Source organism: Homo sapiens, chromosome 18, assembly GCF_000001405.40.
Source record: "Homo sapiens chromosome 18, GRCh38.p14 Primary Assembly".
Classification (NCBI taxonomy): Eukaryota; Metazoa; Chordata; class Mammalia; order Primates; family Hominidae; genus Homo; species Homo sapiens.
The window spans coordinates 79187337-79210940 of record NC_000018.10 but is presented as its reverse complement, the minus strand read 5'-3'; the positions used below and the strand labels follow the sequence as shown (position 1 = coordinate 79210940).

General features: G+C 40.2%; 1 protein-coding gene across 36 annotated transcripts in view; it reads right to left on the bottom strand.

The window, feature by feature from the left end:
* Positions 1–23604, bottom strand: part of ATP9B (ATPase phospholipid transporting 9B (putative)) — a 308890-nt gene that overhangs the window by 167343 nt on the left and 117943 nt on the right. For 35 of the 36 annotated variants that reach the window (NR_148360.2, XM_017025726.2, XM_011525963.3 and 32 more), the window contains 2 exons: positions 17678–17758; positions 3929–4004 (listed from right to left, as the gene is read on the bottom strand). Coding sequence is in view for 34 of the 36 variants with exons in the window: in XM_017025726.2 (XP_016881215.1) it covers positions 3929–4004; positions 17678–17758 (157 nt within the window). In the remaining 2 variants the exon portion in view is untranslated. Of the gene's footprint in view, positions 1–3928; positions 4005–17677; positions 17759–23604 lie in introns of those variants that run through there. The other variant, XM_047437501.1, reaches the window with a different exon arrangement.

The window sequence follows — 23604 nt, the reverse complement described above, 5'->3', positions numbered from 1 at the left end:
TATCAAATCAAAATGATGTGAAATGCTTACTAAAAGTAAATATGTATTTCATGTGTGTCTAATGAGAGACAGAGGTATTAACAAATCAATGTATTTGTTGACTCTCAATTATACACCCAAAACCTGCTAGATACCGTTAGCAAAAGCAGGCAGGGCCACATACACCAGCCTCTGGAACACACTCCAACTCGCAGATGCCCTCCAGGAGCCAATTTCCACAGAACCCCAGTGTGCACTGCTCCCTGGGGCAGGCGCTCCCGGGCTGGACCCGATGATAGCAAGGCAGACACTGAGCACTGCACGTACAACTCCAACCACGCACCAAGTGCAGGAAAACTGATGAAGACCGTGAACTGAGCCCCAGGATGTAAACAACCTAGACCAAAACTGGTGCACAGACTACAAAGGAGACCCCCAACCAAGGTCTAGAGTCCACACAGCCAGGACACAGAGACACAGGTGACCCACACCCAGGTCTAGAGTCCACATGGCTGAGACACAGAGACACAGAAGACCCTCACCCAGGTCTAGACACCACACGGCTGGCCCACTGAGTGACAAGGAGACCCGCACCCAGGCGTGGGTCCACATGGCCAGGGATTGCCCTCTGACAGCCCCGTCACACTTTTGTCAACCTTGCCTTAGAGAGCCCAGCTTTCCTTCCAGTTTTGTGACAGCTGAGTATCAGGAACACTCCTTTGTATGCTCATCAGTATAATAAACACGATGGTTCTCCAGGACCCAGTTCTGCATTTTAGAGAGCAAGTTTTCTGGATCCACATGGGAAGTGAAACCTCCGGCAGCACAGCAGGCTCTCTGTGTCCTGCCTTGGCTCACCTCTCGTCTGCTGCATCTGCCTGTCTGTGTCTAACCTGAGTCCCGGTTCCCATGCATTCAGAACTCTAGGGATGGGGAGGAAGCACTGAGTTCACTTCCCCTCCAGAGTCAACTTGAATTCAACTGAGATACGACTTTTAAAGTATAAGAGTAAAAGGAATTCTCAACTTGTAATCAATTACAAAGAATACAAGAGTGCCTAGGTTACTCTGGAAATCTTAAAATCTTTCAAACATTCCTTAGGATATAGCAGTGTGGTATATAGAATGTGTAACTGTTCACATTAACAAGGCTTTTAAATAAAGATATGTATGTACTAAAAGAGCTGAAATTAAAGCTTACATTTAAAGATGTTCGAATACAAACTAACATTAAAGGTACCTTAATTAAGCTTCTCGAGTGGATGGTTTTAAAGCCGTCTTCATGCCCACTAGGAAGACACAACACTGAATGCTAGATGGCAAAGAGAACAGAATGGACAGGATGGGGCCGGCATGTTACGATGCCTCATTAGTGTCCAACTAGTCGGGCCCACTTGCCAAGGTCATCAAGAGAACTGAGGTCAGGAGAGAAAACTTTGTTCAGGGAACCGTATGGGATGTCTCAAAAGCCTTTAGCTCAAGCAGCTTTAGTCTCCCTCAGGAGAAGGGTCACAAATCAACAGTACTAGGGATCAGTAACAACATTTAATATATGTTTATGCAGCACCAGGAAAAAAAGATGAAATTTATTTTTAAAAAGGGAAGCATTACTATCTTCACGAATGATTCTTAATTAACAAATATCAGTGAGATGGAAGAAACAGGCTGCAATAACTATGTATGGAAAATGTAAGTCTTCTCCCCATGTGTCAGCTTCTGAGTCCTGTATCATAAATGCTTTCGTGTAACTACTGAAGGCCGAGCACTCAAGGACACTGGCTTTCAGGGAATGCACAGCTGGACTCCATTCTGGTCCCTGTGCAGCCTGGCTCTATGGTAACTGGCAGGGGGAACACACCTCCCGAGTGCAGCCATTCAGCGTGAGGCCAGGCCAGCACTGACCACACTCACCACCTGGCGGAGAGGCTGGCAACACTCATGCCTCTCAGCAATGCCAAGGCAGCAGCATGAAGAAGGCTGGAGGGCAGGTTTCCCTGGCTAAATGTGCCTGCCCATGGTGTGAAGACCCTTACAGAGCTCAGGGCCCACTTGTCCACCCCAGAAGAGTCCTCCTGGCATGAGGTCCCTCTCGAGGCCTACAGAGCCCAGAAACTGTCCTGCTCACCTCTGAAGTCTCTTCATGGAAAACTGTCTTGTTCTCTTTCTTTGTATGTTAAGAAATTTATATACGTATGTTTATATATATATACACACACACACATAACATTTATATGTATGTAACATTTATATATAGATGTAATTTATATATAAATAACATCATGAAACACCCACAAAAATTGTCACCTATTAAAACTGTCATATACCCATCAAGCATTTTTTAAAGACACAAAACACTAGGATAAGATGAATCCTCTTTCAAATTCTATCATCCAAAAAGCTAACATGTGTCCTCCTCCTGGAGTTCGTTGTATAGTTAGTTTTGCATACTGCAGGCCAACAGTTAAACACAAGCACACAAAGCTGCCCTGTTGTGTGACACCTGCCTTCTCCATGGGCCTAGCACACTGGCCCTTGGATCCTTTTCTTCAAGGTACTGTCTCTCAGTACTAGGCTGCTAGCAGGAATGCTCCTCACACTGTTTCTGCCACCTGCCTCATCCTGCCACATCTGCATATTCTTTAAATCCAAGTTAAATGTTTCTTCTTCAGAAAAGCTGCTCCTAGACCTGGTCTATATAAACTTCATTTTTCTTTTTTTGAGATGGCATCTCGCTCTGTCGCCCAGGCTAGAGTGCAGTGGCGCGATCTCGGTTCACTGCAAGCTCCGGCTCCCGGGTTCCCGCCATTCTCCTGCCTCAGCCCCCCGAGTAGCTGGGACTACAGGCGCCCGCCACCACGCCCGGCTAATTTTTTGTATTTTTAGTAGAGACGGGGTTTCACAGTGTTAGCCAGGATGGTCTCCATCTCCTGACCTTGTGATCCGCCCGCCTCGGCCTCCCACAGTGCTGGGATTCCAGGCGTGAGCCCCCGCGCCCGGCCTATAAGCTTCTTTAATTACAAACCGTCCACAGCACTCTCTGTACGTGTTGGTGATACTTAGCACAGCAACATTACCTAGAACACTTGCTTAACCTCTGTCCACAAAGCCATAAGCTCCCTGAGGACAGGATATGGAACCGCCTTGCCCCAGACTGAATCACCGTGCCTGGTGGAGAACAGGTGCTCCATGCACATGCATGGGGGAGTGAGTGGCATCCAGGAGAGAAGGGCACCCAGCACTGGGCAGCACCGAGAAGACACAGCTCCAACAATCTAGCCTCTCATTCCAGGCTGCCATCACCTTTCGGGCACTCTCTTCCAGAGCTCCCTGCTGCTAAGCCCCATTACTGGCACCAGCATCGATACCAACCCATTCCTGGTAAACTTCCTCCCTGGCATCAACCTCAGCATCACCTAATTTCTCATCAGCTTCCTTCCAAACATCATCATCAATGTCAACTCATACCTGATAACATGGTAATCATCTGACATCGTCTACCTCTCACAGCACGCCTGGCCTCTTCTAATACTTTTCCGTTCCACAGTCACTTCAGCCACTCTCCTCCTGCCAACCCTTGTCGGATGACTGAGAAGCGCTAAAATCACCACTGGCTTCCCAAGCTCTTCTGTGGTGCCTCTCATTAAGGAACACTGACAAGTTTGTCAAGAAACAGGTCAAAGACGAACAGAATATCCCTGTACTCCTGCACGAAGGCTGCAGCACCTCTCCCTGTCTCAGGCCTTGCGAACCACGTGCAGTGTCTGAGGAGCAGCACAAGCCTCACCACAAGCTCCCAGGACTGTCTCAGACCCACTGAGCTGGAGTCTGCGTTTAGCAAGGTCCCTAAATATTTCAGGGCACTGTGAGAAACCCTTGTTTGGAGTCCCTGGACAAAACAAAGCATCATCTATCCGGGAGCAATCACACTCAGAGGAGAATGTTTTCCTTACCTGATGCAACAATGGTGCTTGCCCACAATGTATTTTCTATGCTGAGACTTTCATGAATGGGCGGGTCACTGTCTTCCTGTGCAGGGAGACAAAAAGAAAACAAAACCGTCAAATGATTGTTCATTATTCACACCTTATATAACCTCAGTATTAGAAACAGGTCCACAAGCTCAATCCAAGTGAACAGCAGTGCAAAGGCACTGCAAAACAGACGTTAGAAAAAAGGGACTATAAAAAATTGAAAGTACAAGTTCAAAGAACTCCTGTAATCAATTAATTGCTTGCAATGCTTAACATTAATACACAAACGAAATAATTCTAAATTTTCATGAAAGTACTATACCTTCTAATATTTATTTATTTATTTATTTATTTATTTATTTATTTATGAGGTGTTATTATGCTGCCCAGGCTGGTCTCAAATTCCTGGGCTCAAGCAATCGTCCCATCTCAGACTCCCAAGTAGCTAGGTTTACAGGTGCATCCAGCATGCCTAGCGTATTCAACTACATCTTTAACACATCATTTAACAACACTCCTGGAAAAGTAGAAAATATTAGCACAGAAATAACCACAAGTCAACTCTTCAACATTTCTTTTGCGTGCATAGCATAATTTCCTCTCTCTATCTCTTGTGAAGGACAAGGGCAATGCTTTTTAAGTGTGCATGTATTCACGACAGAGAAAATGCTTCTGTGAATATTGTTAAAAAATAAACATATATTTTAAAAATGTATTTCTCTTAAATTCCTCTTTAGAAGTATGCTATTATTGGCCGGGCGCGGTGGCTCACGCCTGTAATCCCAGCACTTTGGGAGGCCGAGGTGGGTGGATCATGAGGTCAGGAGATTGAGACCATCCTGGCTAACACAGTGAAACCCCATCTTTACTAAAAATACAAAAAATTAGCTGGGCATGGTGGCGGGCACCTGTAGTCCCAGCTGCTTGGGAGGCTGAGGCAGGAGAATGGCGTGAACCCGGGAGGCAGAGCTTGCAGTGAGCCAAGATCACGCCACTTCACTCCAGCCTGGGCGACAGAGCGAGACTCTGTCTCAAAGAAAAAAAAAAAAAAGTATGCTGTTATTACACGAAATATTCTTAAACAAAATTCAAGTACGTTATATGATGCTAACTACCTTAACAGATAGCAAACCAATATGGCCACACATCAGTATCACGACAGCAATATGTACAGTCTAGTTTTACATTTACACTTTCAATGTTCATATTCAGAGAAGAAAATTACAATTTAAAATCTGGGAATTTTTCATCTTAATGTAAAGTCATGGCCTACATTTCGGTAATGGAAGCCTTACTAGAATAAAGGAATGCATCCACAGCCCTGCATCTAGAAGTAACACAGGGAAGACGTCCCGTGTGGGAGGCAGTGACCTCGACATCTGGATAGGGTAAAAGCCACACACTGTCCTGACTGTTGGGCGTCTCCCGTAAAATAATGCCCCCTCCACAAACTGTATTTTGTTATGAAATGATAATTTGCTATCAGGATATACCTTAAGAAAAAAAAAAAGAAATCAAATTTGAAAAGGAAAGAAATTGAAAACATATTTTCCAAAATAATCTGCATGTACAAAATACGTTTATGTAACTGGTGTTTTCCTTCTAGTTACTTATCAAACCACTTTCAGATGATGTAATTTTGGCCGTTTTGCTCATTACTTGGAAGATATTTGCTAGATATCTGATTCTCTCATATACTTGATTTGTTTATTTGTGAAGCACAGAATCTAAACCAATCCTAACAGTTTCCAAAATATTTCCCCTAATATGGCAATTATTTAGTAACTAAAGTATTTTCAATTACATTCAATTTGAGGAAGGCGTTTGGCCTCCAGTTGCCTTGTATGCCCAAAATAGCAAGCCCAGTAGTTAGGAAGTGTCCTGCAATGCAGGTGCAGCTCAGGGTCAGACTCTCAGGGCCCTGGGGATCATGAACCTTCCACCACGTCCCTTCACAAGAAGGCGACCGCCTGACCTGAAGACTGACCTTAGCGTCTGAGCCTTTGGGAGAATGAAGGCTATGATGCTGGGAATTGTTTACAACACAGCTGGAGTGCTGTTTCTTTGAAAAAAAAAATCATTTCAAAAATATACACTGGCATTTAAATAAACAGTACCTTGGTTACGTCATCTACAATATGATCTCAGTAGGCACAAGTGCAATGCCAGCCACAACAAAGGACACAAAGAGGTCTTCTCAGTGATGTCAATGGTCTTAAGGAGCAGGCGCCCTGCAGACACAGCCTGGATGGAAACAATCTGTCTACAGTATGTGCTGACTCCAGCATGGACCAATTACTATTTCTGCAGATACACAAATACCTTTAACTCTACAGTCCCTTAGGAATTACTTCCTTCAATTAATTCCACTTTATCAAGTACAACATGTTGCATGCTTTCCTGAACTTAGCAGTTACAACTTATAAAAATCTGATAATTAACCTGTATTCATATGCAAAATACTAAGGATATATATTTTTAAGTGGAAAACCTGAGAATTATATTATCCCAATATAAATTTGCATGTTTACAAGGGAAAAGAACTTAAAAGGAAGAGTCAAAAGAGTAATACTAGTATTTGTATCAGGAAGGGAGGAGGGCTGTAAAAGTGGTTTATACCTTTAACTGCTTTATTTTTTATATAGTTTCATACTAATGGTAATATGTTTACCAATGTCAAAATACACTGGAATGAAATTAAGCTCCTGCACAGTAGCTAACACACCACTATTACGGGCTTTAAAACACAGAAGAACATTCAAGTACTTAATTTTCCAACACTGTTCTTGTTTTTTCCACAGAAAATACCAGATGGAAACTGCCTTTTGTTTACTTTGTTTATAACTAAAGTAGCTGCTCAGAGTAAAGGCATACAATTTATTCAATGCTAAGATAAACAATCCAGAAAAACTGAGTTATCCCTATGACTTTTATGATTTGATAGAACAACCAAAATATCAACTTTAAAGAAAAAGCAAGTAGCCTCTATGGATTAGACTACTTTGTAATTGAATTTAGGATTGCACTGAAATGGGCAATTTCTGATTCATTCAAACAAATGGTGTTACAGTCTAACTCAGCTTAACACTATTGAAGAAACAAAAAAAAGATATATATCCTCTAACACTGTTGAAGAAACAAAAAAGATAGACATCCTCATTCCTACTTCCCAGATACGGTTGACACGGTATATCCTTTACCTGCTGGGGGTCTAGAGGTTCCAGCGTTGGCACAGCCAATTGAGCATACAGTTGGCATTAAGAAGCCAAATACTGAATTCCCTATTTATCATTTTAAAACTTGAAGCAATAAAATTTTTATCTACCATAAATTCAGAATTTTATTGTATCAGAGCAATTGACATGTTTCTAATCCCATATTTTATGGGTATTACCTTCCTAGCACCTAGCACAGAATAGGCAATGAACATTGTCCAATAAACAAAAGAACACTCATGAAATTCTTTTTCTAATATCCACAGGAATCAAGATGTCTTTCACCTGCAGTGCCCACAAGCATGATGCTATAATGAGTCACCTGCCTGTGGTTACTCTGAGTCTCCTTTTATGAAGCATCAGGTACTTGCTCCTCCAGGGCCTCCTGCCTGCTGTTACTCTAAGCCTCCTACCTCTACGAAGTATCGGGTGCCTGCTCCTCTACGCCCTCCTGCCTCTAAGAAGCATCGGGTACCTGCTCCTCCAGGGCCTCCTGCCTGCTGTTACTCTAAGCTTCCTGCCTCTATCGCTCATCAGGTACCTGCTCCTCCACGTCCTACTGCCTCCATGATGCATCAGGTACCTGCTCCTCCAGGGCCTCCTGCCTGCTGTTACTCTAAGCCTTCCACCTGTATGAGGCATCAGGCACCTGCTCCTCCCGGTTCTCCTGCCTGAAGATGCCCATCGTGACTTCACCACCCAAGTAGAAATTCACACAATTGTATTCCCTTTAAACTCTTCCTAATGATTCACTTGATATGAAAGTTTAATTATTGATGCATGTCAATCTTTTAGTACTATATTTTCTCCTAATGTCAAAGTCCAAGAGAATAAGGGCATTAAAAAACATAAAAATTTTAGAAGGGTTTCTCAAATGTAAACAAAAGGTTCTATATAATTTCATTTTAGAAATTTTAGCTGGTTTCCTGTTACTTTTCTATGACCATTTTTCCATATGAATGTTTCTGTCTCTAACACAATTTTATGTTGAAGAAAACACAATATCTATGCATCTTTCTTTCAGTTCTGGAATGGCGATGATTGACTATAAACATTTTTCTAACATGGAGAAAATTATTCCAAAAGATAGTTTTTTACCAGTCTCATGAAGCACAGAATAAAGACTGGGAAGACTGAAAATAAATTATCTCTAAAATGTTCTATTTCACTTTCCTTCTCTTTAATGGTCTATAAGTGTGAACAGATAAAATCTGCTTGGGGGAGGATGCAAAATGTTACCATTTCATGCTGTTCTCTCAACAGCATACCCTACTTAACAAACAGCAGAGGTTTGCTTTTTTGAAGGAGAGTATTTTGGCTGAAGAAGACATGAACAATGTAAGTGTGCTATGGTTTGCAAAAGAAATTACAGCAGAAAATACATTCTCAAAATGACTAACTGGGAATGTGATGTTAAAGGACTATAAATACTGCTAATACTTCAAAACTGGCTACAATTTACAACTCCAAACTTCCAAGACAATACATACAGATTTTGAACAATAAGTGAAATTAGCGATATCAATCATTCACATAATGAAAAAGGTTATACAATCAGTAATTTAGGTTGTTCTCACATTATCTGAGGAAAGAGGAAGCAGACACCATCACAGCGCCACATCTCCATTAGATTCTGCACAGGCATCAGCATGCATACTGGGTATACTGCCACAGGGACCTTGAATTAATTTTCTCTAATTCCGTATATATATATATTTTAGGACAGGGTCTCACTCTGTCACCCAGGCTGCAGTGCAGTGGTACAATCACAGCTCAGGGCAGGCTCCACCTCAACCTGGCAGGCTCCAGCAATCCTCCCACATCCGCCTCCCACATAGCTGAGGCTACAGGCGTGCTCCAGCTGTAGCCACCCCACTAGGCTAATTAAAAAAAAAATTTTTTTAAATCAGAAATCAGGGGCTGGGCACAGTGACTCACGCCTGTAATCCCAGCACTTTGGGAGGCCGAGGTGGGTGGATCACTAGGTCAGGAGTTCGAGACCAATATGGTGAAACCCCGTCTCTACTAAAAATACAAAAATTAGCTGGGCTTGGTGGCGCACACCCGTAGTCCCAACTGCTCGGGAGGCTGAGGCAGGAGAATTGCTTGAACAAGGAGGCACAGGCTACAGTGAGCCGAGATCACGCCACTGCACTCCAGCCTGGGCAACACAGCAAGACTCCATCTCAAAAAATAAAGAAGTAAATTAGGTCTCCCAATGTTGCCCAGGCTGGTCTCGAACTCCTGGGCTCAACTCCCACCTCAGCCTCCCAAAGTGCTAGGGTTACAAGCATGAGCCACCATGCCCAGCCAATTTGTTCTAATTCTTATTTAAGTATTTAAGCTGACACAAAAGATATTTTGTCTTATGTATATTACACTATAAAAAAGGAAGATAAGTGGATACCACTCCTTAACAATGCCCAGTTGATAAATTTGAATTTAACTGAATTCCATTTTCTCATTATAAACAAGTTATTTATCATGTCTTTATTCTCTTCCTTTTTGAAAAATACACAGAAAAATCAAGAACTATCATCAAAATAATTCAGATTTCAGAATGGATATATCTAAAATGAGAAAAAAACTGTTAGAAAACATCAAAGGCAATGAAAGGCTATCTGTGTGAATGAACTTGAAGTAATTTACACAAAGTAAATGTATCTTTAATTAGCTTGAAAACCACAAATAAGTTTCTCTCTTTGAGTGGCACAGCCTCCCACAAGTGGTCACCATCACCAGGCCATCAGCACACGTCTTGTGCCTCATGGGGTGAAGCCATTCCCGTTCCTAAATTCAGTTTGTGCTCAACACTTGGCACTTGCACCTGAGAGGCCAACCGACCGTCCTAAAGCAGCCAGGGCAACAGCCAGCACCAGCTCCTAAAAGGGTGTGGGAGCCTCAGGCTCTAGAACCTCAATGGCAACTGAGCATTGTGGCCTGGAAATCCAGGGCCCCACCCAAGTCTATTCTGATGAAAACAATTCCACCACTACTTCTGCTCTGACCCCAACGTTCCCACCTCCACCTCTGCTCTGACCCCGACAGTCCCCACCTCCACCTCTGCTCTGACATAAACACATTTACTCACAAGATATTCAGAAATGTATCCTTTATTATCTGATATTTGGCAATTTCCGAGAAACCTTTATTATAATTTCTTAATGAAGCCCACTTGGTCAGAGAGCATATTTTATGAGTTGCCTTTTTTTTCCTAAGCTTTTTTCTGGCATACCTTAATAAATGTTCTGTGTGCACTGGGTAAGCTACCCATCCTGCTGCCTTAAGTCCCTGTATCTATCAATGGGGTCAACTTCATGAATAGTGTTCTTCAACACTATAGTGTTCTACTATATCCTTACTGATTTTCTCCCTACTCATTTGTTCAATTATTGAGAAGTGGGTATTAAAATCTCCAACTATCATAATGGATTTGTCAGTTTCTCCTTGAAGTTCTAACAGTTTCTGCTTCAGGTACAATCGTGTACAACATAACAACATTTCAGTAGACAGTGGATGGCACAAACCACAGTAGCCCCATCAAAGTATAACAGAGATGAAGCATTCCTACCACATGGTCATGCTGCAGCCATCAGAATGTCATAGCATTAGACATTACTCACGTGTTTGTGGTGACGGTGGTGAAAACAAAACTACTGGGCCGCCAGTCATGAAAGTCTAGTGCATACAATTATGTACAGTACATAATATTAAATAACAAACAACTATGTTACTAGTTTATGTGTTACTATACTTTTTATCACTGTTTGAGAGTGTACTCCTTCTACTTATAAAAAGACAAACTTAATTGTAAAACAGCCTCCGGCAGGTCCTTCCAGGGTTCTGCCAGAAAAACACATTGTTATCCTGGGACAAATCCCTGCCTGTTATTACACGTGGAGATCTTCCAGCAGGACAAAATGTGTAGGAGGAGACAGTGATACTGATGATCCGAGTAGGCCTAGGCTAATGTGTGTGTGTGTGTGTCTGCATTTTTCTTTTTTTTTTTTTTTTCAGATGTAGTCTTGTTCTGTCACCAGGCTGGAGTGCAGTGGCACAATCTCAGCTCACTGCAACCTCTACCCTCCTGGGTTCAAGTGATTCTCCTGCCTCAGCCTCCTGAATAGCTGGGACTACAGGCATGTGCCACCACGCCCAGCTAATTTTTGTATTTTTAGTAGAGATGGGGTTTCACCATATGGGCCAGGATGGTCTCCTCAATCTCTTGACCTCGTGATCCACCAGCCTCGGCCTCCCAAATTGCTGGGATTACAGGCGTGAGCCACCACGCCCAGCTGTGTCTTTGTTTTTAACAAAAAAAAGTTTAAAAAGTAAAATTTTTAAAAACTAAAAAAGACTACAGACTAGGTATATAAAGAAAATATTTTTGTACAGGTGTACAATGTGTTTGTGTTTTAAGCTAAGTGTTATTAATAGAGTAAAAAGATTTTTTAAAAATTAAAGTTATAGGGCCGGGCACAAATTACTTTGTGTAATTTACTTTGTGTAAAGTTATAGGTATGTAAAAATGAGTTTACAGGCTCATGCCTGTAATCCCAGCACTTTGGGAGGCCAAGGCAGATGGATCACGAGGTCAGGAGTTCGAGACCAGCCTGACCAACACGGTGAAACCCCATCTCTACTAAAAATACAAAAAATTAGCCCGGCGTGGCAGTGCGTGACTCTAATCCCAGCTACTCAGGAGGCTGAGGCAGAAGAGCCACTTGAACCTGGGAGGCAGAGGTTGCAGTGAGCTGAGATTGCGCCACTGCACTCCATCCTGGGCAACAGAGTGAGACTGTCTCAAAAAAAAAAATTAAAGTTATAGGAAGCTGAGATTAATTTACTATTTAAGAAAAACATTTTTAAATAGGTTGAGTGTAGCTTACATGTACAGTGTTTAAAAAGTTTACAGTAGTGTGCAGTCATGTCCAGGCCTTCACATTCACTCACCACTCACTCACTGACTCACCCAGACCAACTTCTAGTTCTGGAAACTCCATTTGTCGTTAGTACTCTATACAGGTGTATCATTTCTTAATCTTTTATACAGCATTTTTTACTGTACCTTTTCTATGGTTAGATACACAGATACTTATCATTGTGTGACAACTGCCCACATTATTAAACACAGTAACATGTTGTACAAGTTTGAAGTACAGGAGCAACAGGCTACACCATATAACCTAGGTGTGTAGTAGGCTACACGATCTAGGTTTGTGTAAGTGCACTCCATCATGTTTGCACAATGACGAAATGGTCTAACTTACTTCTCAGAATGTAACTCTACTATTAAGCAACTCATGACCGTATTTTGCAGCTCTGTTATTAGTGCATAAATGTTTAGGGCTTACTTGTCTCCATAATAAACCCTTTTCTCATTATGTTCTGAAATGTACTTTGTGTGATATTACTATAAGTAACTCCAGCTTTGATTAGTGTTGGTACGGTATCTATTTTTTACTTTTTACCTGTGTTTTTAATGTGTTTTCTTATAGGCACCATATATTTGAATCTTGCTTTTTTATACAACTTGACACTCCTGTCCATTTAATTGGGGATTTAAACCATCTAATTTTAAACTTAGGTTTTTGAGTTTAATTTCCAAATACCTGAGGATTTTAAAGATTTTTTATTTATTTCTAATTCCATATTGTAATTAGTGAATATACAATTGCAATTTTAAAAAAATATACTAAGACTTGTTTTATATTCAACTATAGTTGGGATTGTTCCATGAGATTTTGAAAAATGTGTATTATGTAGCTGTTGCATTTAATAATATCTGTCAATATGCTGAAGTGCCTTCCTAATGTTATTTTAATATTCTATAGTCTTAATAAACTACATGTCCTTATTCTATAGATTAGAAGGAAAAAATCCGTTCTCGTAGATTTTATGTTGCCTATTAGTTCTATGAATTCGGGGGTACTATGTTTTTCTCCAGTCTGACAGTCTCTGCCTTTTAACTGCAGAGACGTTTAATTACTGAGTCAACCATCTTGCTCTTTGCTGCTCTTTGTTTTCTACTTGTCACACCTGGTATTGGGTTTCCTGCACCTGTCTTTTTTCAGGGGAAAGAAACCAGTTGATCCCACTTTAGCATCTAACTTCATCACCTCTACTGACCTCTTTCTTTTTTTAGTGGTTGCTCTGAGAATTATTATATGCAACCTTTACTTATCACAGTTTACTCTGAATCAATATTGTATCACTTAACACACAGTATTTTTTAAAAAACTTACCTCCTTTTATTACCTGGCCTCTGAAATCCCCACCCTAACAGAATGGCTTTAAGGTTCTATTTTTTAGTTATATGACCTTAACCTTTATATGTTCTTCCTTCCCTCTGCACTCTTTTTGTTCACTTTGTCATATACTTATTTAATTCATTAATTTTCATTTTTATTTTTATTGCTATATATATATAAAGATTATAAATTTTCCTATTTCCAAACATATCAAACAGATTCAGATTCTGATATGCAGTGTCTCCATTACCAATATTTTATAGAAATTCTCCAATTTCAGTTTATATTTCTCCTATGATACAAAAATTGATTAATATATTTACATTTACAGGCAGAAAGTCGTTTCATTCACTGATTTTGTTACTGCTTACCAATTTTATTGCATTGTGATCAGAGAATATTGTCTGTATGAGTTCTATGTTATAGAAATAAAAATTTCTTTACAAGCAAATGTATGTTCAACTTTTGGTGACACCCTATATATGCTCAAATAAAAATTACTGGGGAACAAAGTTCAATAAAAATTTAAAATGATATATTTTACTGCTCATGTTCTGAGCTCTCTCTTCTATGCCTCTCCTACCTTTCTGTCCACCTGACCCACTGGGAACTGCAGGTAGATGTTAAAGTTTCCTATGACGGACTTTATTATCTTATAGCATCTTTCTTCACCTCATTCTAAATGCTTTCTCGATTCTATACTGGTATTCTTGTTAAGTACCAAGACTGCAACTCCTGTTTCCTTTTTATTTGTATTTGCTTGATATATCTTTCCTTTAGGCTTTCTGATCCAATTAATTTTCTGTGTGAAAGAGCCTGCATACTATGCATCTTTAGCCATATGAATTGATCAACTGTTGTCTAATTTTTAAAACCAAATTTATTTTTTGGTGAGGTGTGTATTTTCTGGTCACTACCATTTTGCCACTGTCCCAGTAGCCTGCCTTCATCCTACTCTCCTTGCTTTGACAGCTACTATTGAGCTCGTCAGCTTTCAATAGTCTCTGACTGCCTTAACACCCACGTAGCAACCAATGAGCTCCTTCTATTTTCTCCTCCTCTTCCTGCTTTTCAGCTGATTATTAGAGGAAGCGTATAAAATTCATATACACTGTACCATCTTCCACCCATCCTCCCTCCACTGTTTTATTCTTACGTCTGTTAGATCTTCAGTGCTCACCATAAAACTTCCACCCAGGTCATCTATCAGCCAGGCAGAGCTAATCCTCTGTAAGATTATTCACAAAAGGCTCATGTGTACAACACACCTGAACTCTGTATGCTTGAGACTGCTCTCCACAGAATTGGCACTTGCAGGACAGTTTTGAAGGAGCAAAACACTCCACTCACACATTCTTCCCCTGAGCCTCCTGGAAAGGCTGTGCTGCTCTTGTATGGCTCCGTATGCTGAGAACACTGACACCAACCTGGCCCCTTCCAACTGTGGGGAGCTGGTCATTTTCCCAGGGAGATCAAAGGATTTTTCCCTGTATATGTAAAATATGACAGCAGTTACACGTCTTGGAGTTTTCTCACGTGCATGCTGGGCCCTTTTAGTGTGTACCTTCAGACATCCTTGTATTTAATAACACACACTTGAGCTGTCAATGTTTCAAACCATTTCATGATTTTGTTTCAAGACTCTCATGTTGAGTATTTCTTGCCAATCTTCCACATCCATCAACTTCTAGTCCTTTTCACCTCTTTGATTATCTCGTTTCCTTGACTCTCTTCTTTACAACCTCCCTATCTCTTACTGTGCATCCCCCACAGGCACGCTGTGATTCGGTCCTCCCTTCTCAGATGCTCACGTTCAGTGTTCTCCTGAGTTCAGTTAGCCTTCTCATTCACGTTATCCTGTTTTATTCTTGAGCTTTTATTCTTACATTCTTGAGAAATTTATTCCATTTTGATTCTTGTGTTTTTAAATGTCTGATTTATGGTGTTCTTTCCTAAGTACCATTGTTTGGTTAGTAACATTTAAATCAGGCTTGTTGCACTGTTATAGAATTACTTTGCATTGAGGTTTTTTCTTTCCTTGCTTTTAGAAATTTTTTATTAATTGAAAATTTGCTTCCCACTTATGTTTTCTTCTGTTAATAACTACATTGGCCCAGGCACGATGGCTCTCATGTCTATGATCCCGACCCTTTAGAAGGCTGAGGCAGGAGGACTGTGTGAGCCTAGGAGTTTGAGGTTGCAATGAGCTATGATCACACCACTGCACTCTAGCCTGGGCGAGACAGCAAGATGAGTTTCTTCTATTCATAATAATAAGAGCTATTTTTCTTGAATCTGTACAAATAGGAAATCCTATTCCAAGGATGGGAGGTGGAATTTGTTTCTTAGTCCAAGAGTCCCTTCTTCTACAGGCACAATGAAGTTCTATGTCTTCAATGAAAAGCATCCTTTTGGGATGGTGTGGGCTGACTCTTCTGATGGTTATTATAATGTTTCAGGAAGGTCAACTTTGTCTTTTTCTTCCTAACCAAGCCTCCTAGAGCCACCAACTCTTTACCAGTGCCCCTTGCCCCTATACATTCCCCCAACGTCACTTCCAACCTGTACTTTCTCCACAAGTCCCTTCAATGTCCCAAAGCTTTACTTACCCAAGTCATTCACAGGATGCATTATTTTCTTCTGTGTGCAAAACCTGGATGATATCAGCATCCCAAGACAATCTCCTTCTGCTGCACCATCCTGGCTCTGGAGCTAACTGTGTTATTTTGGATATTTTCCCCACTTACAGTAAATTGAAGTTCACAGTATTTTCTGTCTCACATTTCTGCTAAACATGAGCTACAGATTAAACTCTCTACTCTCATAGTTAGCCTGTATGATTTTGGAAGCCTGTGTGGTATGTAACAAAGTTAAGTGGCCACCATTATCTTAAGGGAATCAGAATTTATGAATGCATCTTTTTAAAACATCTGTATTTATCATTTCTCTTCTAAGCTAAAGATCCTTCAATGGCTTCCTCCGGTCAAGCCACTGATACCTTTCTAGTCCAATACGCCCCAGCCCTTGTCACACCTGCAGACTGAGCCATACGCTCCCGTTTGAACCAGGTTTTTCAGCCAACCTGCACTTGCTCTCCGACTTCCTTGTACTTCCACACATTGTCTAGCGAACATTTCCGACTTTTCAAAGTCATGAGCAATATAAATTAGAGGAAACAGCAAGAAAAGGAAAGGAAGAAAGCAAATAATATTTCAAATTCTTAATAGTGGTTACATAAATACCTTTTCATTTATCTTACCAAGGGTACCTTTTTGTAACATTTATTCTCATATGTTGTCTTTAATAAGAACATGTTGTTTTCATAGTAACTACTTTTGTTTAAAAAAAAAAGATGTGAGTTTATTTCAGAATTCACTCCATGATATTTATCACCAGGTCATGCTTCCTCCTCTGTCCCTCCATGAACATCTTATGCATGCTTGTGTGCAGCACCTATGGAAATAGGCAGCTACAAAAGGCCCAGTGCCCCAAGGGACTTTAACGACCTCACAGGTGCCCGTGCTTCACATTCCCATAGTCTGCACACTAACTGTCACATTATATAAGCTCTGTAAATGCTTTTTCAAGTGATGACAACTGCTTGCCAATCCCTGCAAGTGACCAAGAGTGAAATAAAGGTGAATTCACCAACAAAAGTATTTTTAAAATAACTGCAGCAATTACAAATAACCTATAGTCATGTACTAAAATCCCTTACTATAAAGCATTTATAATATCAGTTATAAGCTGTTAAAATAAAGAGTTATTGAGTCTCTCAAGCCCTGTTAGTCAGGGGCAAGGTGCTTCCAGCTTTAACAAAACTCTGTAATAATATAAAGTGTGTGGCATGAAATATACATATGTGTATAAAGAAACACAACATGCATGTACAGACTCACATATATATAAATACCCACCCAACTCAGACAGTAAAAAGCTAGACATGATGTGGATAAGATAGTATACCAACTATTCAGTCAGAATGAAAATAAATTACTTCATTTAACTGATTCACAATATTTTAGGAGATAAAGATCTTATTAGTAAATATGCTAAAAAAAATTCCAAAAACTGTACTAAATGTATCCCAAAGACATATTTAATATGGGTACACTTAAGAACTTCAAACATTATATAGGTTTTCCCTTCCTAGTTTGAAACTTCTGTTTGAATTTATTCTTGATTGAATTACTGTCTCAAAGGTTTGCTACTTTTAACTTACACAATAACTCTATTTGTATTGAACAACAGGTTTAACTTACCCTGGTAAATGTGCCTTCGAAACTGTGAATGTCCATTTGTGGTTTCTGAGCATAAACATAAGCACTGATAGAAAAAAGGTCCTGGAATACAGAACATTTGAATCGATTAGAATGTTATAGTTTAGTAAAATTACTTGGAAATTTCTCATTTGCTGATTAATATTGTTCATATATTATTTACCAAAAGCAATCATTGATTTTCTTAGATTTTTGTGTGCCAACACTATAAATTAGAATGTCAGATAAAGAAAGAAACCATTTTTAAGCTTGACAGGGTGTGCTTTTGAACAGCAGGTGTGAGTCAAAATCATGCAGGAGACACTCAAAACAGGCAGCCCCGGGGCCTGTCCAGGGGGCTCCAATGGTAGAGGTGGAGCCTGTTTAGGAGTATCTTGAAGTCACCTGGGTATCAAAGTATTCAGGGGGAAATAAGGAACCATCGCAATTCCTCACAAGTTTTATAAAACAGTTTAATAAATTCCTAGATCTGTTTACATGCTTTCATTCAAGCAGGCACTGGTCACTATAAGCTAAGGGTGGCCTTCCTTACAGCCATGAAGACATGCTTGTCCTGTGTGTCTGAATCACATGCTCATGACACATACTTATACAATCACATGGGAAAGCTTTCACGAAACACACATCATGGCTACTTTCATACCATTAATTTTAGAGCAGAAAAGACATAGGGTTTAGGTTGCTTCATTCATTGGCTACACATAAAGGTTAAATCAGAAAGTCTCCAGAGGCAAGGCTGAGCCTGGTCTCCAATGGACGCCACCCCAGTGCCTCTTCTCGCTGCTGACTCTGCTGTATGCTTTTGCTGTCATAAATCACAGCCAGGGGGAGGATCATATGCTGAGTCCTGGGAGTCCTCCTAATAAACCATCTAATTTCGGGTGGTCTTGTGACCCGCCCCCCAACCCATGACCCTTTAACACACAGAGTTTGCCATTTCTATAATTTTGATTTCCATTCTGTACGTGTGAGTGTATAAAGTTCTGTCATGGCTGCTAAAACTCAAACAGAAACCTCCCAGACTCCCAGACATGAAGAAGCAGAGGTGAGAGATTAGGGTGACCACAGCAGCTGCAAAGTGAGAAAGAAATGGAAGCTCAGAAAGGAGAGTGCCTCAGAAGGGGCCGAATCTGTGTATGATCTCATTCTGACACCTAACCTATCATGCCCTAAACTATATCCACTAAACGAATGGAACCGAGAACACCACAGCAGCTCCCTAATGCCAGAAAGGTAGAGTCTGCAGTTTGACTTCAGTCAAGTTAGCTACCAGTTAAAACAGAACCAAACAAAAAACCAGTACTCTTCAGGAGAACCTAACAGAATCCTGAATCCTGCCTCTCTACAATGAATCATTTAAAAAAATGAAGAGATGATCCAAATTTCTAAACATATGAAGAAACAAAAACACAAGGTCCATAATCAAGAAAGAACATGATCAGTGAAGACTGGCCCTGAGATGGTCAAACTTCAGCATTAAGAAATGAGAATTTCAAAGCAGCTTTAGCACATCTTAAAGAAAAACATGCTCCTAACGAGTAAGCAAGTAGGAAATCACAACAAAGAAAGAGAAAGTGTATTTAAGAACAGAGAAGCACATGGAAATTCCAAAATTGAAAAAATGCAATGTCTGCAATAAATTCTTTAGATGGGATTAACAGATTACAGATGATGGTGAATCTAAATGCGGGTCAAGAGATAATGATTCAAAAAGACACAGGAAAAAATTATTTTGAACATGAATACAGTCATAGAACCATGAAGGGAATATCGCGGAGTCTAACATGCATGTAACTGGGGTTCAGAATGAGTGGACAGAGAGAGGATGAAAAAACAAAAACTACTTGAAGAAATAATGACTAAAAATATGCCAAATTTACTGTCAGCCAGAAATGTACAGATTCAGGATGTCCAGAAAACCCCTAAACACATAAATAAAATTTAAAAATATCAAAATCAAATTGCTAAAAACCAAAAATAAAAAAAATCTCAAAAATACCTAAAGAAAAATAACACATTATACACAAGAGAAGAACTATCAAAATACCACTGATTTCTCATTATAAATAATGGAGTCAGAAGACAATGGAACAAAATATTTAAAGTGAGGGGTGGAGGGTGTGGAAGGCAGACTTGTCAAGCCAGAATTCAATATCCAGCAAAAATATTCTTTAAGAATACAGGTGAAATAAAGACACTGTCAAATAAATAAAATGAGAACTCCATTCCAGCAGACATCCACCAGAGGAATATCAGCAGAGGGAAACAATATCAGGCAGAAACTCATATCTTCAAGAAGGAATGGTAAGGAACAAAAGTAGTAAATATCTAAGTAAATATTTAAAAAAAACCCCCAAATCCTGTTTTTAATCTTAATTCCTTTAAAATATAAATAAAATGGGCCAGGCACGGTGGCTCATGCCTGTAATCCCAGCACTTTGGGAGGCCGTGGCAGGTGGATCACATGAGGCCAGGAGTTTGAGAGCAGCCTGGCCCTCATGGAGAAACTCCGTCTCTACTAAAAATACAAAAATTAACCACACAAGCTGCTGCACGTCTGTAGTCCCAGCTATTCACGAGCCTAAAGCAGGAGAAAACTGGTTGAACCCGGGAGGCAGAGGTTGCAGTGAGCCGAGATCGCACCACTGCACTCCAGCCTGGGTGACAGAGCAAAACTCTGTGCCAAAAATATATGTATATGTGTGTGTGTGTGTGTGTGTGTGTGTGTGTGTGTATAAATAAAAAGGGCTGGAACAGTTTATGATATGTGTAGATATACTACATATTAAAAAGTACATTGAGCTCCTGAGCAACATGGGTTGGAACTGTGCAGGTCCACTTATACATGAATTTTCTTCAATAAATCTGTTAGAAAACTTTTGGAGATTTGTTGATAATTTGAAAAACCTTGAAGATACACCACATACCCTAGAATTTTTTTTTAAATGTTTAAAGTTAGGTATAACATGAGAACATAAAATGTATGTAGACATAGTCTATTATATCACTTACTACAATAAAATATACACAAATCTATTACAAAAAGTTAAAATAAAACCTAAACACACAGGTCATGACACCATCTGCAGCCGAGTGACTTGCTAATGATCCTGAAGATGCAGTATCAAACCCTAACTGCACAGAACTAAGTGCAGTACACACTGTGCTCCCGGAATCGTGTCGCAGCCCCTCCTGCTGCTGCTGCGGGGAGTGCGTGCAAGGGTCTGCTGGAAATGCGGTGCGGCACCACTGACCTCTGTGTGAGCCGTCTCCGCTCCAGGACCCTGTGCATCACAGTTCCGAGTGCTCGCTCATGGTGCTCACATGTTTTCCATCGTGTTTGGCGTAATACCATGGCGTGAACCTTGAATAATACCACGGGACCAATAAGAAGTGCTTCTAGTGATGCTGGAAATGTTCTCAAAAAGTAGACAAAAGTCATCACACTACAAGAAAAAACTGAGCTGCTAAGTATGTGTGGTGGATTAAAGTCTGCAGCTGTGGCTGCCCACCATTTCAGACAGACAGTTCACCTTGTAAACAGGTGATGTCAACTTGTGCTATCAAAAAATACAGTACTGTACTATATAAGTGTATTTTCTCTTCCGTATGATTTTCTTAATAATTTTTCTCTAGCTTACCTTATTGTAAGGACACAGTATATAATACATATGACATCCAAAATATGTGTTAATCAACTGTTTAGGTTATCGGCAAGGTTTCCAGTGAACAGTAGGCTATTAACAGTTAAATTTGGGGGGAGTTAAAAGTTTACACATAAATGTTTGACTGCGTGGGGGATTGATACAATTGACCCCTGTGTTGTTCAAGGGGAATGTATAGTACAAAGGGTGGGTGGGGGAAACAGGTCTATTCAAGGACAAAATTATCTTTTTTTTTTGATGGAGTCTCGCTCTGTCGCCCAGGCTGGAGTGCAGCGGCAAGATCTCGGCTCACTGCAACCTCCGCCTCCCAGGTTCAAGCGATTCTCTGGCCTCAGTCTCCTGAATAGCTGGGATTACAGGTGCACACCACCACGCCCGGATGATTTTTATATTTTTATTAGAGATGGGGTTTTACCATATTGGTCAGACTGGTCTTGAACTCCTGACCTTGTGATCCACCTGCCTCAGCCTCCCAAAGTGCTGGGATTACAGGCGTGATCCACCGTGCCTGGCCTCAAGGACAAAATTCTTGTATTTTATGTGAAATGGTACAATTTTTACTTTTCACAATACACTTTTAGTTAAAGGCATATTGCAAACTCTAGTTAAAGGCATACTGTAACTAGTTAAAAAACTCTAGTTAAAGGCATATTTTAGTTAACAGAATACTGCAAACTAAAAAAAAAAAAAATGCTAAAAAGCCAAGAGATAAAATAGTATTCTAAAAATATTCAATTACAGTAAAATTGAAGAAAGATCTAAAGGAAGACTTGAGAAGCCGAGGTACACTTGAAGGCCTTAAGAGATAACAGAAAGAAACCAACAGAGAAAGATTAGAAAAAGAGAGAAGAAACTACTCATCTACCAAGGTCTCTAAAAAGCACAATTTGATAAGCTCAGTTGAAAACTATAAAATAATTATTCTTAGAAGGATTCTTTATTGCAATTATAGCAAAATGGGAGAATAGAGGTAATGTTCTTTATTTATTAATGGGATATTGAAGGAATTTCCATTTGATAGAATGCTTTTTCCATGTAAGGTAAGACAAACTGGTCTTACCGGTGAAGGAAAAGACAGGTGGATCAGAAATCAAAGGAGAGTGGAAAAGTCTGAAAGCACTGTCATCAGTAAGAGGAACCACAGTTGATTATAACTTCTAACAAGGATTACAGGGAGCACCGAGGGCCGAGCTAAAACTGGTAACCATCAATTTGTATTTCCCAACCTTGGCCTGTATTCTGAGGGACGTAGAACAATTCATTTTCCACTCTTATTTACTTTTTTAAAATTTCAGCAACCATATATATTTCTAAGAGCTCTTATTTTCCACATGATCCTTTTTCATAGCTTGTTTTATTTAGGTTGTTAGTAACATCCTCTCATATTTCTTCAAGTACATTAGACATCTGAATTTATTCTTTTCTGTTCCTGGAACACCTACTTCCTCTGGGCTGGGCTTTTACATTTGCACCGGGCTTTCTCTTTCCTGTTGATTCTACACACGCATTCCAATAATCCTTTCAGAAAAGGGGTAGCACAGCTAAAGGGCGTCCTCATGTTTTCTACACAGGACTCTTGCCTGCCAGATCTCTTCTTAAAGGGACTGGAGAGTTGTAAGTCATGCTCAATCACTTAAAAAAAAAATCTTTAACAGAGAAGATTCGATCACCTAAAATTGATATGGCATATTTCATTTCTAGAAGACATATTTACTATTTTTCTGTTGATATTTCATTCATTTTTCTATTTTAATCTATGTGAGTCATTACCATACAAATTTGTAAATTGCTCTGAGTTCCTTGAAGAATGCATGGGAAACAACTGATGCTAATGAAACAGGGAATTATAACAGCAATGCTAAAGGGAGCATCCTGTTCTCAGGGCAGCACAGTCCTCTGAGAACTGCTGGAATGGTTTTGTGCACTCCATTCAGCAGCAGCACAGGGGGAATCAGACACTCAACGGGAAACAAAATGAAGAAATGGCTCGGCAGAGACCACCTTCCATATTTCTTCCCATTTCCTTTGAAAAATAGAACTTCGGAGCTGTAGATGTGTAGGTGGTTCTCACTTAAAGAATGCATTTCTCAGCATTCTTTGCAGCTGGTTAGGACCAGGTAACTGATTCTGGCCAGCAGAGCATGCGAAAGGACATGTGCCCCTTTGAGTCCAAGTACTCACCAGGCCTTTCCTTCCGAACCTCCCCTGTGGGACAGTGTGGAGGTGGGGCAGTCACTGGAACCC